This window comes from Homo sapiens, chromosome 6 (assembly GCF_000001405.40).
Source record: "Homo sapiens chromosome 6, GRCh38.p14 Primary Assembly".
In the NCBI taxonomy this organism is placed as follows: domain Eukaryota; kingdom Metazoa; phylum Chordata; class Mammalia; order Primates; family Hominidae; genus Homo; species Homo sapiens.
Window position 1 is genome coordinate 25,884,957 of NC_000006.12, and position 17,051 is coordinate 25,902,007.

At 38.3% G+C, this 17,051-nt stretch overlaps 1 pseudogene, besides 1 other annotated feature; it reads left to right on the forward strand.

Annotated features, from left to right (window-relative positions):
- On the forward strand, positions 463-795 carry H2BP5 (H2B histone pseudogene 5; annotated as a pseudogene).
- Positions 13,160-13,749: an enhancer, noted in NCBI's record as "NANOG-H3K27ac hESC enhancer chr6:25898344-25898933 (GRCh37/hg19 assembly coordinates)". NCBI's record gives its function as "activates a minimal SCP1, AML or CMV promoter by ChIP-STARR-seq in primed H9 embryonic stem cells {active_cell/tissue: H9 hESC(primed)}" and the evidence as "EXISTENCE:reporter gene assay evidence [ECO:0000049][PMID:30033119]".

Consider the following 17,051-nt stretch of genomic DNA (forward strand, 5'->3'; position numbering starts at 1 on the left):
GTTGATTGTAGGTGGCTGGATTTATGACCCAAACTTGACCAGTGTCATTTTTCATAGACTTAGGTTGAGGAGGTTAGTTTCTCTCAAGTAGTTGAAGCTGAAACCTACAAAATTTAGGTGCTGTAGGAAGAATCTTTTCAAAGTACTCTTGGTACAGGCCACACTCGGGTACTAGGCTGTCTGGTGTTGCTTTCTGAGTGGTTCATGCCAAATATGAACACTATTAAATCAGAGTGGAATTTGATCAGCTCATTTACATGCATTATTTAGTTTTCGTCCACTGAGAGATTGGGTTGTCCCTATGCTTTCTTTGAATATGGCAACTATAAATAATTCCTACTTGGTACTGGCTGCCAGTCTTTTTATCTCTAAGTAGTGTGAGGCTGAATCTACTATGCCTGGGTCTTCCTTTAAGTAGTTTGCTATTGCCATAATTGACTTTAAGAACATTGGTTTGCCATCTCCAAAAACAACTCAAAGAAATTTTACCAAAACTCAGAAGATTAGCATGAGAGATGCCCTACAGAGAACTACTCCATCTGCTTTAACAAGGTCTTGAAACAAGTGTGCTCCAACATGGGCATTTCATACAAGGCAACATGTTTTGAGAACTATTTTATCAAGGATATCGTCAAGCACACAGTAGGACAAGACTCTCTCTAGGCCCATTGTAACAGATACTGCACTATCGCCTCCAGAGAGAGCTAATGATCTGTGCACCTGCTCCTACCCAGGGAATTGATTAGGCATGCTATATCTGAGGACATCAAGGCCATTATTAACTACACCAATTCTATCCAAATAAGCTGCTGTTGAGGATTCAAAGAACATAAGACAAAGGCTCTGTTCACAGCCATCAACATTTTCTGTTAATAGCTACCTCTTAATGTATTCATATTTCTGATGGATAGCCCTTTGTATTACCTCTTTGTGAATTGTTCAGGATCCTATATAATTGACTTAGTAAAACTTTTCTCCTTTCTACCTTAAATATTAAAAAGTAGGTCTATTTTGTTTATGATTTTTCCTAATGAGGGATAGCACATGCTTGTATGTTTGTGTTTCAAAAAACATACTATGTGGCCAAAAATGGTCTCAGTTCACCACATGATTTAGTGAAGGCCCCTGTATTAGTCTGTTCTCATGCTGTTAATAAAGACATACCTGAGACTGGGTAATTTATAAAGGAAGAATGTTTAACGGACTCACAGTGTTTCACAAAGAGAGTTTCAGAACTACCTTGGTTTTTAAAATTAGAGTTCTAGTTAGTTCTAGTTAATGTGTTTTAGCTAATAATTTGTTGGTGGTGTTACTAATTCATGGAGTCAGCATGGCTGGGGGGGCCTCACAGTCATGGCAGGAGGCAAACGAGAAGCAAAGGCATGTCTTACATGGCAGCAGGCAAAAGAGAGCTTGTGCAGGGGAATTCCCACTTACAAAAACATCAAATCTCATGGGACTTCTTCACTGCCATGAAAACAGTATGGGGGAAACTGCCCCCATGATTCAATAATCTCCACCTGGCCCCACCTTTGACACATGGGGATTATTACAATTCAAGGTGAGATTTGGGTGGGGACACAGCCAAACCTTATCAGCCCCATTGCTTTTAATGTGAATAGCCTGAATTAATTTATCTAATTATTGAGGTTAGACACATGTTGTATAATTGTTGCATTTATTTTTTTTTCTGGTTTCAATTGCCATCATCTTGTGTCTTCGTTTTAACATATTTTCGGCCACAGTAGGGGAACTGCCCTTTGAAAGTATTGGAATCATCTTTGATTCCAATTGAACTGTACAAATGTTTTGTTTTTCAACTTCTGAAGACAGTTCTATCAGAATTGCATTGAATTTTTAGATTAATATAGATGACAGACATTTGTATAGACTTGTGATTTGCCATTTAAGAAGCTAGATGCTTTGAGGTATGAAAACTCTTTTTGTACTTCTTTAAAGCTTTATGGTGTTCTTCATGGGGCTTTACACATTTCATGGAGCTTATTTTAAGTTATTTTTCTTGCTTATTAACATATCTGTGTATAAATATAATGCAAGACTGTTACATTATATTTTTAACTGCTTTTCTATGAATGAATGCTATTGATATTTGTGTTATAATACTGTATTTGGCTGCTTTGCTAAATTTTATCATTTCAGTTTTCCAGGTTTTCCTCTAGGATTTTCCAGGTAGACAGTAATCTGTCAAGCAGGTAAGTAGTTTCTAAGCAGCAGCACAGGGGCAGCTGCTAGGCTAGCTTGCCACATTTTTACATATTTAGCCAGGAAGGAGACAATGAATCCAAATGTTAGACAGTTTGTCTTAATCAGTTTGGGCTGCCATGAAAAATTACTATAGGCTTAAAAAATAGAAATGTATTTCTCACAGTTCCAGAGGCTGAGAAATCCAAGATCAAGGCACCAGGAGATCCACTGTCTGCTGAGGACCCACCTCCTGACTTGCAAATGGCCGTCTTCTCCCTGTATCCCCACATGGCAGAGAGCAGAAAAAGAGAGAGAAAGCAAGCTCTCTCTTGTTTTATAAGGATGCTAATCCCATTCATGAGCTCTCCATTATCATGGCCTATTTACCTCCCAAAAGCCTCACCTCCTAATTCTATCACAATTGAGGTTGAGGTTTCAATATCTGAATTAGGAGAGAACAAACATTCAGTCCATAGCACAGTTTATGCAAAACTGTTTTGCATAATAGCAAAAACAGTTTTTTTGCAAATAGCAAAAACAAAATCAACATGATGTTACATCCCTGTTTGACTAGTTCCAAAAGAAGACATGAAACTGGAAGGGCCAAATGACAAATGACACAAGAGGTGGGCTGTTCTGTCATTGAGGAGCCAACTCCACACTACAGCCATGCAATTTTATAGCCTGCGTCTACCCAAAGGGCACATGTAGAAAGTCCTATGCCTCACTGGAACCAGAGAAGTGATAGATGAGAAACTACCTCACAGCAGCTTCCCACAATAGAAGTAACTTCCATCTAGTTGGGGAGGCTGATGATAAGTGGCCTTGTGACAATTCCTCACAAAACTGCCTCTTCACATATAAATATAATATAATTATAATTATAATATGATATATTACAGGGAATTCTGCCATACAGGGGATTCTGGGAGGATCACAGGGCATTCTACCATAATGGATCAGAGTGCAACTGAGTCTTGCCTGTGTGGCCTATGTGCAGATCTGCAAAGTTGCCAGGGTGCCATAGAAGAGCCACTGTCCTCCACAAATCATATGATTATTTTACTCTGTTTGTTTCAGTAATTAAACCTCTTCTCTAAATACATTATATAATAGTCTGAAGTGATGATTTAAAATAGTGATAATAGTAGACTTGAATTTCTCAGATATAATACACATTTTTCTTTGATATATATTTCTGCCATGTTACTAACAGGCTTTAATTAAAAATAAGTATAAAATATTAGCATCTACCTACCCATTTAGCAACTAGTAGATGCATATGGTTCTTTTCTCCTTTAATTTGTGTCATGAATTCCATTTATAGTTTTTATCATTAGCAACAATAGAAGCCATAATAATGGAAAAATATCCTGAAAATGCTGTGGCAAAACATTTTTCAATCTAGAATTCTATGCACTGCTAAACTACAACTATAGGATGGAGTAAAATAAAGACATATAGACAAAGACTGAAAAATTTTACAACTCACAGAAAGACACTTAAGTTAATGTATAGTAAAAGAAAATATTTTCACCATTTGGATTTCAGAAATCTAAAAGTTTTATAACACACTGTTAGAACATAAGGAAATGAGCAATGAAATAAATTATTGATAGATGTGTAATTTGTTGCAGCCGTCTGTGAAGAGCAATTTAGAAGTGTCCATTAATATTTAAACACAGATACTTTTGACCCGCAAATTCAACCAAGAGATTTTCACCTGTAGTTACACTTGCACTGGTGTGGGCTGAAGTATATGCAAGAATATTCATTGCTACATTGTTAATAGCAAAGAAAGAAATCAATAATATAAAACATATAGCATTTAATATGGTGAACACCCTGTTAAGAGTGCTTTACATATGTTAACTCATTTATTAACTCTCCCAACAATCCTCTGAGGCCAGAACAATTATCATCCCACATGACAGATGAGGAAACTGAGGAGCAAAGCTGTTAAATAATGTGGCAGGCACTGTTATGTGTCTTTTACCTCTTGTGGAAAAGACAGTCTTATATGTTGACAAACCCATTTTTCTTTTCCTGAGCTACTGGACTGCTCATTCCCATCATCCTTTGAAGTCACCTTCTATGCCTCCACTGAACAGCCTGCATTAGATGGTGATGCCAGTAGGAAATAAACATTTGCTTTCTTAAACCTCTGAGATTTTGTACAGTTTACTTGTTAACACTGTAAAGTCTAGCTTACTCTGACTCATTCAGAAATTGGTACCAGAGGTGGAGTACTACCTTAACAAAAAACTAAAATAATTCTCCTGTCATTGCTCCATGAAAAAATCATGGGGGCAGTGAAGATAATGCAGTATGAACTGTATTTCAGTGAGGATGGGGCACAAACTGGATGCAGACAAGTAACAGCCAATTAGTTTTCAAGGGTAATGTGGCATGTTTCACTTCTTTGTTGTCTGGGCCAAACTCCATTTTAAGATCCCTACTTCTTTATTCACCTGTATGTACTTTAAAAAGAGCTCTAAAAGCAAAAAACTCAGTTTTCAAGCCTCCTTGCAACTAATGTGGTCTTGATGCACATTTCTGGCCAGGAACACATAAGGATTTTCTGATTTGAGAGTTGATGTGAACTCTGGATATGCACCCAATGATTATGAAACAAAAAAATGAGGAGGGAAGTCAAAAGACTTGGCATAGGTGTATTAGCCTAGAGGTGACAGATAAACTGAAAATCTCAGTGGCTTACAAAAATAAAGATGTATATCTTGTTCACACTACATTCATTGAGATTGGCTGTAGCCCTTCTCCATGTCATCTTCCTGTCAAGATCTAGGTCAGTAAGGTGGATTCTATGTGGAAGATGGGTGGTTGCATTATGGAGAGAAAATAAATAATTTGGTGAGCCATGAACTGATGGTAAAAGTTTATTGTGGATGTGACTCATGTGACTTCTATTCACATTTTATTGACCAAAGTAAGTCATATAGATATGCCTGATGCCAATTGCCTAGGAAAGTATCACCATCCCAGAAGGAAGGGCAGAGATATTTGTAATTAAAAATACAATTCATCACAATCCAAACTTCTGATCACAAATATTCAGTTCATGCTCCTTTCCACACACAAAATATATTCAATGGGTGCCCCTCTCCCACTCCAAGAAAGAAAACCCAAAAGTCCTATCCAGTCACAGCATCAGCACTGAAGTGCAGGATCTCATGACAATCTCTGCGTAAGTCTGGATTTGGGTCCTTTTGTTCTGAAACCAATAAAATGACGTCTGCCCCACCTCTACTCTACCGCACAACCGCATGTACAACAGTGGAACAGGAATAGGATAGCTACAAAAATAGGAAACAGAAAATACTCACTTGTTGGAGGAAATTATGAAATCATCCAGGGCAGATATTGTAAAGTTTTTCTACACTGGATGTGTACTGACTGATTCCTTGCTTAGTCCATAGTTCTTCACCCTCAGAACAGCTCGTTGTTTTCCATGGCCTTTGGCTCCACCTTCTGGGGAATCTTTTCTTTTCCATTATTCCTTTTGGCCACATTTGAAGAGGACATTGGATATGCCCCTCCTTAGGAACTGAGCATCTTTCACTGTCCATCTTCTGCCAAAAAAATTGAAAATAAATAAAATTTAAAAATTGGTATACCAGGGTAAACCAATATATTTTTTGAGTCCTGAAGTTATGGTCTCCTTTAGTCCAGACTGATTTGTACAACTCTCAAGGCCCTTTACATTGCCTTGCTTACAACCAACTTTGCATGCTAACTTTACTTGCCACCCCTCCCTTCCCAATTAATTTGAAGATGTGCTCTTCTCTCTTCAAATCTTTCTCTCGACTTAATTTTGGGCACTTCAAGCCTATCAGATTCCCATGGGAAAGCCATGTTCTTTGTCTCATTTTTCTGAGCCATTTTATTGAATCAAAAGTATTTACTAGATACTATCTTAATTCAGAGGTTTGAACAACAAACATGAACAACCTCATTGTTTTGACTTTAGTTCTTGTCATGAGAATGACTTTTAACAAGTTTTTTGTTTCTTAAGTCATTTCTCAATTGAGATGAAGTTTTTTTCTTCCAAACCTAAAAGTCTAGATATTCTGAAACTGGCCAATTATTTTTGGGCCTCCTATATTTTTGGAGAACTTTGTCAAATGCAACCAATAGTAACAAAGGCACACTACTAACAGCCAATATCTCAACCACTTCACCCAAAGCAAGAAGCTCATTAGATATATTATCAGCTTTCCAAGTTGCTTTGGGCAAAAGTTTAATGTATTTCAAAGGTTATGCTTCTAGCCTCCAAAATTTTTTTTCCTTTGCCTCCTGATAAGTCCTGAAACCAACACTACACGCATTTTGGACTTTTGTTTGTTCGTTTGTTTCTCTTGTGGTAGCATTTGACTTCCAGTACTAATTTTTTTTAAACCAGTCAGAACAGGGTAGGTTATGCTGCAGTAGCAAATAATCCCCCAAATCTCAATAGTTTACAAGAACCTCCTTCATTCTACATATGCAATGGACAGCTGTTGCTCTGTTCCACATCATCTTCACAATAGCACTGGATTGATAGGACAGCTTCCATCTAGAACATAATAAGTCTCATGACAGAAAAGAGAGAGCATTGAAAAAGTTTTTGACTGGAAATGACACATCATTTTGGCTCAAATTACAGTAGTCAAATTAAACCACATAAACAATTTTGATATTAATGAAGAAGGGAAATATAATCCTTCCTCAAGAGAGGGGAAGAAAATATCTGTGTACAAATCATTGGTGGATCAAAAAGTAGAGCGAGCTTCGATCCTTGTTGTCATCATTATATCACTGCCTTACTTTTGAGCTGTCTAAACCAGTGTTTCCAGTTCATGAGTTCAGCTATTCTAATTTACTACTTAACTCACATGTTAAGGTTTTGGTTTTCTTCAGTGACAGTAATTATCAGGTTTCTTTACACATCTCATGCATAACTGTTTGGTCTATTCCTATTCACTCTTTTTGCTATTATAGTCATCATTTCTATTATTTCTTCTTGTGTTCACTTATCTGAAAATATGAGGATGGCTATTTGAATTTCCTTAACTCATGGTAGATTGTTTCCACATTTGCTTTATAATTTCTGATGGTGAGAACATAGTAAATGGAAATTTACTTGAGGGTGCTCTAATGGCTAGGAATTTAGCGATTAACACTTTTGAGATGATTTCTGTTTGTTTCTGCTAAGTATCACCAAACTAACTATTTTTGTGTTCATTTCATGGCTTTCCAGGTCATGTACATATTGTACATTTGAATCCTAAAACAAAGCAAGTACAAACTGGTATTTATGCACTCTCAACATGGGCTAACAGAGAAAACCTATCTTGTCTCCCAGTCCCAATAAACATATGTTTTCTAGTTTACCTGCCACTGCAGCTATGGCTTTTTGTGCATCCTGGCTTTATGCAGAGTGACAAGGGGGAAAAGAGACTCATTGAGGAAATTTTAACTGTAATGTCAAATAAAGAAGGACATTAGATTGGTACATGTAACTAGAAAAAAATATGTTTTATTCTCTTGAGTTGTTGGCATGATGTTTTTTAAAGTAGGGTGATACATGATGGACATTGTGTGATAAGAGTTGGTTTTGACTTGACAATGTAGCTGAATGTAATTCAGGATAGGAAATATAATAGTCAGTTACCTCTATTTCTATTGTGTAGGATGACCTTGGAAGTAGCAGTCATGACCAATTTTAGAAAAATTATAAGATAATAATAAAAAAGACTTGAAGGGAAAGAAGCCATCTTTCTGCCCTCAAATAGATTCATAGCAGCAAAGGCAAATATAGGAGAAGTGGGCCAATGAAGATGAAGTCAGGAATGCTTTGATGTGCCTCCAATCTCCTCTTCAGTAAGACTAGCCATGCCTATCTTTAACCATTGTCTTAGTCCCTTTCATGCTGCTATAACAAAATATCACAGACTGTATAATTTATGAATAAAAGAAATTTATTTATCACAGTTCTGGAGGCTGGAAGTCCAAGATGAATGTGCTGGCAGGATTGGTGTCTGGTGAAGGCCAGGTCTCTGCTTCCAAGATAGTGCTTTGTTGCTGCATTCTCCAAAGGGAAAAAACACTGTCCTTACGTGGAAGGGCAAGAGGGCCAAACTCACTCCCTCAAACCCTTTGGTAAGGACACCTAATCCTATTTATGTGGGTGGAGCCCTCATTACCTAATTATTTCCCAAAAGGTCCCACTTCTCAATACCACCACCATAAGGATTAAGTTTAACGTGAATTTTGAAGGGAACACCATCATTCAAACTAAAGCAACCATAAGCTTGTTTTTAATTGTTTTTGTTTTTTGGACAAAGAGCAAAAATCCATTCTTTTTTTTAAATTTTATTTTATTTTTTTTTTGAGACGGAGTTTCACTCTTTTTGCCCAGGCTGGAGTGCAATGGCCCGATCTCAGCTCACCGCAACCTCCGCCTCCCGGGTTAAAGCGATTCTCCTGCCTCAGCCTCCCGAGTAGCTGGGATTACAGGCATGGGCCACCACACCCGGTTAAGTTTCTGTTTTTAGTAGAGACGGGGTTTCTCCATGTTGGTCAGGCTGGTCTCGAACTCCTGACCTCAGGTGATCCGCCCGCCTCGGCCTCCCAAAGTGTTGGAATTACAGGCATGAGCCACTGCGCCTAGCCAAAAATCCATTCTTTTACTGGATTTCAAGCTTCCTCTTTACCTAGCCCTTATTCTTCGTATGTTTTCTGATGACAAACTAAGATTAAGAACAAGGTTCACGTCTTCATAAAGTGAAGAGTGATGATGTGTCAGCACGAAGGGCCAAGTTTATTTTATTGGCTATCATGCTGGGATTGGGGTTTTCATTGTATCAAGTTAAAGGTTGTGTCTTACATATGTCAGGCATATATGATGCCTCAGGCAGAAAGCCACATTGAACCAACTTCAGGAAAGAAAGCAACTGGGTTAGGGAGCTCACCAAACAGAAAGAACAATGGATGTAGCAAGAACAGCTCCAGACATCTCATGGTCTAGAATTCAAGATTTTAATCTCATTCTCTTCCTCCCCCTTTCCTTCCTCTCCCTTCTTTTTTCCCCTTCTTTTTCTCCCTCTCATTCTCTCTCCTTTCCTTTTTCTTTCTCTACTCTTTCCTCACTCATGACCCCAAACGGCTCTAATTTCTGCTGTTTTCTTGCCCATCACGTTCCTTCAGTTAGTCTTTTCTAGGAGAGAAAAGCCCTTTGCCTGGCAGTCTGGAGTGTCATCCTTATATCTTTACTATAAGAGAAGAAGAGGTATTTGGGTTCAGCCTCCAGATCAGAGAATCTCCTGAAGGACTTTTATTGGCTTAACTCTGGTCACTTCCCTAATTCTTGAACATATCATCCCAGCTGATGGAGGTAGAGTTCTCCCATTGGCCAAGCTTGTAGGAACCTTTGGTAACTTGGAGGGCTCTAAGACCATAAAACAAGAGTTTTCCAAAGCACTAATTATGTCTCACTAGTGAAATCAATTTGAATTGATATGAACAATATATTTTTTAAATGAGATATATAATAGGATAAATCAAGGCCTTATTCAATAAAATTAAAAATTTCAGAGTGTATTTCACTCTGAAATAAAGGTAACTGTTTTGTAAGTATTCTATTTTATTTATATGTGTTTGTGTTTCTGAGTATGTCCTGAGTTGCACGATAATACTATATTTCTTATTGGGTAACATTGTCAGAAAAGTTTCTAAAAACTTTCTCTGCTGCACTTATTTTATACATTTTATTTATGTTAATAATCTCACATTTAACACACTTATGATTTATTCTCAACAGAAAAAGGTGGTATTTCTTTCATTTAGTCTTTTAAAAAGCTCACATTATCAAATGATTGCTCAATCATTTAATCTCTTTGCTTCTCTTATATGCATTGATTTAATAAATATGTATACTAGTTTCTCCATCGATTCTTTAGATTTGAAACTTATTTTCCTTTTATTCTTACAAAACTGACTTGTCTATAGGCCCACTTCTACTTCCTTTATTCTATCATCTTCCTCAACTTATTCTGTGGTCAAAGAATGGAGAAATAATATTAATAATATGTTTTTCTCATCAATGACTTCCACCTGTTCTCTGAGAAATTCAGCTTCAAGAACTTTAGTTTGATATGACTGCAAAGATAATACACAGTCTAAATCATAAAAATGTCTCAAAGGTTTTTTTTTTATTTGTTTCTTTGAAATATCCATGAACAGGCATGTTTCTCCCCTGTAGTGCAATTTGTGTGAAATTCTGGCATGCACTTAAGAGGATGTCCTAAAATACCAATATTTAATTGATTCTAAGTCATGTATTGTATCACATTTTTGCCCATGGATTGTTGAAATCCATGGACAAAACTGATAGCATTTTAGAACTTCCTTTGTCTAGTGGCAGTCTTGATATATTCACACTATCTATTGACAAAAAATCTAAAGCACCAGGCTCAAAGCTTGTAGAGTAGGTGTCAGTGATTTGGAGGACATCTCTAGGGCAATAGTAGAGGCATTTTTAACCCCTAACAACTAAATGATCATCAGAAGTGAGTGATATCCTCACTCATGACCCCAACTGCTCTAATTTCTATTGTTTTCTTGCAGAAATGAGAGCAGGTGGGGTCATGGGTGAGGAATGAGGTGTTGAAAGTGAATGGGGTGTTGAAAGCAAGGTGTTTAGCAGTGTTCTGAAAGCATACATTTAAGTAGGCTATCCGGGCACTGTCAATAGCTAAGTGTCAAGCTAAGTACTCTATTTTATTCTAAGAACTATTTTTAGAAATGCTGAATCAACAAATCTCAGATGGCACAGAGGTTGTCATTTTTGAATAATATGAATATCAGTAATTTTAGTTGGAAAAGAAGATTTTCAAAGAGCCATCTAAGTTTCCAAAATAAGTGTTGCAGTCATATTAACTATTATATTTTCCTGCCTGTTGATCTACTGCCTGTGAATTGCTTATCAAACCAACAACCAACTGGAATACATAGACTGCATGTCTTGTTCATTTCCTGCATTCTCAAGTAATGGTTTAACAAACTCATGAGCTTACTCTTTAATCTGAACCATGCTTAACTTCAATTATGTTGATTTAGTCTAAGGATGCAGAATTTATTTTATAGTTATGTAGGAACTGGAATCCAAAATGTAATATGCCTCCAAGCTTTTCTTTGTTGGCCTCTGAAGGAGCATCACCTCTACAACTTCAACGTTGTTATGAATACCTCTGGGGAGGTGTTCACCTCAGGACCCAAATTTGGAAAAAGGGAAGTGCCACTTTGGAGGAGTGCTCTGAGCAGCTGATCCATTAAATGTCCCGATCACATGCACGTGGAAGTGTCATTGCAATATCTGCACTAACAGAAGCTCAGTGACTTGAGAAGTGAGTCTGGAATTCTAAGAAAAAGGCAAGGCATCTCTCTTGCCACTTGTTATTTTTCCAGTCAAGCAACTGTGATAAGAGGGCATGGAGAGCAGGAAGAAGTGAAAAATCCCAGGAAAGTCTGGAGTGGAATCATTAAACCAATTCTGCTCCCTCTCTAGGCCAACTTGGGCCTATTATGAATAAGGAGGTCTCTTATAATCCATCTAACTCCACTCAGGAACAATTTGGGGATCTGAGACTGTGAACTCAGTGGGCAAAAAAATATTTCTTGGCCTATCATTATTCTCTGTAGGATGTTAAGGACAGGTTTCTGTATGTGGAGTCCTCAGTTTTTGCCTTCTCTCCTTGAGATATTTTTATGCTATTTAGTAATTGATGGCCACAGTTGATCGACCACATTTCTGGGCAACTCTAATAATCCTTGTTATATTAATCATTGGACCAATCTTGATTGTGTATGACCATCATCTTGTAGCTACCACCTCTATGTGGATGCTCTCCTCACCCTGCTTAAGTGCCAATGTCTGTGCTATGGGCCTACCTGTCACATGGATAATCTCTTCACTCCAGTCAGGCTCCAACATTAACACAGGGCTGTTCTCTTGTCCCCCTTTGAAGACAGCTTCATCACCCTATTCAAGTTGCAGTACTCTCACTGGGCCTCCACTGTTGCCTCTCTCTCACTCTGCTTAGGTTTCTTCACTCCACTCCAGGCAACTGTCACTAAACATCCTTCCCCCATATATACACAGACATCTACCTTGCTTGGCCAAACCCACTGGATTTCAGACTCACTCATTCAGAGAGTAAGACAGAGAGGGGTTCATTTTTTATTTTATTTTATTTTTTATTTTTTGAGACGTTGTCTCACCCTGTCGCCCAGGCTGGAGTGCAGTGGTGCAGTCTTGGCTCACTGCAATCCCCACGTCCCAGGTTCAAACGATTCTCCTGCCTCAGTCTCCCAAGCAGCTGGGATTACAGGTGCCTGCCACCATGCCCAGCTAATTTTTGTATTTTTAGTAGAGACAGGGTTTCGCCGTGTTGGCCAGGCTGGTCTCGAACTCCTGACCTCAAGTGATCTACCCGCCTCGGCCTCCCAAAGTGCTGGGATTACAGGTGTGAGCCACTGCGCCCAGCCGGGGTTCATCCTTAATACATACATTAGAGATATAGATTCTGTTTTTATCTAAAAAGTCTTTATAAGGCCGGGCGCGGGGTCACGCCTGTAATCCCAGCACTTTGGGAGGCCGAGGCGGGCGGATCACGAGGTCAGGAGATCGAGACCATCCCGGCTAAAACGGTGAAACCCCGTCTCTACTAAAAATACAAAAAATTAGCCGGGCGTAGGTGGCGGGCGCCTGTAGTCCCAGCTACTTGGGAGGCTGAGGCAGGAGAATGGCGTGACCCGGGAGCGGAGCTGCAGTGAGCCGAGATCCCGCCACTGCACTCCAGCCTGGGCGACAGAGCAAGACTCCGTCTCAAAAAAAAAAAAAAAAAAAAAAAAAAAAAGTCTTTATAAAAATCTGATTGAATGGTTGAATGCTGTGCTAAAATCTGCATAATATCTTACAACACTTCTGTGAATCACGAGACAGTTTTGAATGCTAAATGTCAGTTAACAGATCTAAAGGGACCAACATCTGCTTTCCCAAATTATATGAAAGAAGATCCTGATCCCTCATCAGGTGAAACTCACATCAGACAACAGTGTCTGCATTTCTCCAAAACCCGCCTCAGCCCCATGGCCACTTTCCAGGGTTATCCTGCCTACCAAGCACTCTCTTTCCTCAGAAAAACTTGGGGGAAAATGTAGAATAATAATTTTTTGAAGTTCTGACCAACTTCTTGAATCACTCAGCATGTTTTTGACTGCAGGTACAGAAAACGCTGACTCAACAAATTTAAACACTATATAAATTTCTTATCTCCCCAAACAGGACATCAAAGGCAGAAAGGTTCCAGAGCAGGGTGATCAGAGCTCTGGCTCCACTGCCCTCAGTCTTCTTGCCTCTGCTCTCCTTCACAGCAGGCTTTACCCCCCATGCTGGTCACAGTTTCAAGTGTCCATGCAGACACAAGTTAAAGGCAGGAAGAAACAGTGCGTTTCTCTTGGAGATCAAGGAATGCCTTTCCAGAAAACTCCCCCTTATGTCTCATTTGCCAAAACTTGGCCTAGTCTCAGGTGCTGCCTGAGCTAATCAGCTACAGAAGAAGGGACCACATGACTGGTGTGGACCAGTCAGAATTCACCACATGAAGCTAGTAATGTGGCTCACACTTCCCAGGGGGATATGGCCAGGTAGCAGACAGTGGATCGCTGAACAGAATACTGATAGATTTCAGCACCAAGGTTAGAATGGCTACCACACCTAATCCCACCCTATCCCCGTTTCCTTCTTTAATTTTTTCCATAGCACTTATCAGTAGCTGACAAACTGTATATGTTTTTACTTTTTTATTGTCTGTAGCTCCCAAGTAGAATACAAACATCTGAAACTCACTGTATCCATCCTGAGTAATGTTCTTTTCAGCTCAGTCACAATCATTTTTTGATAGCCTATCCTATAAGCTTAACTTATAGTGTTAATCAGTATTAATACATCTTAGTGGGAAAGAAGGAAAAAATAAACGATCACACACACACACACACACACACACACACATACATTTACGTAACAGAGCAAGTGTGAAAATACCTAAAGGCTTTATAGCTCCTTTTGTCAATGGATACATGACAGCATTTTTGGCATTCTTTACTACTCTTATTCTATGCTCCATTTGTCTTCAGTCAGCACCTCAGCTGCCCTTATGTTTTACTTGGTAAGGCAAATTCCTAAATGAGCCTGGTAATTAGTCATCCAGCTTATAGGAAGGTACTATAGTTTTTCATTAACTTTTTCACTGGGCTTGAGAGTAGTAAGGACTCCCAGAGAATTCCTTGTGTTCCAAAAGTACTTCTCCTTGACATCTTGGTATAGGATTAATAACTGTTTACCTTTGATAATCAGGAAGAATGACTCCAGCTAGTACAGTTACGTGATGCCTATACATTCCTTTTTTTCTGGGAAAAATGTAATGTGAAATTAAGTGCAAAAACCATGCCTTGTTTATGTATGTATCAAACACTTCTAGAGCTTTCCCAATACAGTTCTCTTCTCAGCAAACAAGAGGACTATACCCTCATCCCCACCCCTGCACTTAGGTGTAGCCAATGTGTTGTAACTTAAAGAGGAGAGGGCACTGGATGAAGGGAAATCTGTCTAACAAGCTTCTTTATTTCACCTAGTGGAAAAAAGCCTTAATCTGCAGTGGGGCAGTTTTCAAGGACATAGACTGAATTGGCTCATGCATTTATGGAAGATGAGGAGTCCCATGATCTGTAATCTGCAAGCTGGAGACCCAGGAAAGCTGGTGGTATGATTCAGTCTGAATCTGAAGGCCTGAGAACCAGAGGAACTGATGATGTAAATCCCAGTTCAAGAGCAGGAGACCAGATGAGATGTCCCAGCTCAAGCAGTGAGGCAGAAAAAAAGGCCCAAATTCCCCCTTCCTCTGCCTTTTCTTCTATTCAGACCCTGAATATCAGGTGGCATAATGCCATCCACACTGGGAAAGACAGTTTACTTTACTAGGATCACCTATTCAAAGGCTAATCTCATCCAGAAACACGCTCACAAACACAGCCAGAAATAATGTTTAACCAGATAGCTGGTTATCCCCTGACTCAGTCAAGTTGACACAAAAAATGAACTATTTCAAAGCTTACTGTAATCAACAGTTTTGTCAAAAAGATAGACACAAATCAGTGGAATGAGATAAACAGTCTAGAAATAAACCAACAAAAATATTGCCAACTAAGGCAAAGGTAATCAATGGAAAAAAGATAGTCTTAGCAACAAATAGTACTGGAACACCACAATGTGTTAATAAAGTGAAACTGGAGACATCTCTCACACCTTATACAAAAGTAACTAAAAATAAATCAAAGGACTAGATGTAATGTATCAAACATTACATCTTTTAGAATGTATCAAACATTACAAGCTTTTAGAATAAAATATAGAAGAAAATTTACATGATCTAAGATTTGGCCCCAATGAAGTTTTAGCTATAATAACAAAAGTATTAGTCATGGAAGAAAACAAAATTGATAAGTTCAGGTGGGCTAAATTAAGGGAAAAAAATCACTTTGCAGTAGAGAAACCTGAAACATTACCTAAACCACATGATGAAGGTTAATATCAGTGATGTCATGTGGATATCATGTTCTCCCTAAAATGATGTGACAAGAAGGGCCCTTTGCCCTTGTGGTATTATTTCAAAAAATCTATAACTCCGGTGTAATTATGAAAAAAAAGCAAATGATCTTCAGGACTGTTAAGGTCATGAAAAGCAAGAAAAGACTGAGACATTGTCACAGACAAAAAAAGACTAGGGAGATATGACAAGAAAATGCAGTGTGGTATTCCAGATTGGACCTTGGAACAGAAAGAAAACATTAGTGGAAACAGTGGTGAAATCCACATAAAGTCTAGGGTTTGGTTAATAGAGTTTCATGTATCAATGTGAGTTGCTTATATTTGACAAATGTATCATAATAATGTAAAATCCTAACAATGGGGGAAAGCTAGGTGAAAGATATATGGGAACTCTCCTGTACTGTCTTTGTACTATCTTTGCAACTTTCCTGAAAATCCAAATTATTCTAAAACAGAAAAGTTCATGCTATTAGAAGTGAGGATAGAGGTTACCTTGAAGAAGCTGAGGTCTAGAAGAGACCATGAAGGGTCTAATTAGCTAACACACGTTGAGTATCCCTTATGCTTAGAACCAGAAGTATTTCAGATTTTTTCAGATTTGGAATGTTTGCATTATACTGAGTATCTCAAATCCAAAAATCCAAAATCTGAAATATTCCATGAGCACTCCTTTGAGAATCATGTTAGCATTCAAAAAGTTGCCGATTTTGGAGCATTTTGAATTTCCAATTTTTAGATTAGGAATACTCAACCTGAGTAGAGGCTGCCTGCTAATTACCTGGGAGCTAATTACATGGATATGTCATTTTGAGAAAGTTTAGCTTGCTGATATGGATGATTTTCTGGATAAAAATTATACTTTGATAACAATTCTTTTAAAGGAGACAATAGTTATTAACTTTTAAGTACTTTTTAGCTCTACAATTCAGAATTCTTTAGTGCTAAATATTACATATTTTGAAACAAAAGTTTTGTTTATATTTATTTATTTGTTTCCCCCCCCCTTTTTTTTTTTTTGAGACAAGTTCTCACCTTATTGCCCATGCTATAGTGCAGTGGGTGATTATAGCTCACTGCAGCCTCAAACTCCTGGACTCAAAGGATCCTCCTGCCTCAACCTCCCAAGTAGCTAGGAGTACAAGCATGCACCACCATATCCAGCTAATTTTTGTTTATTTCT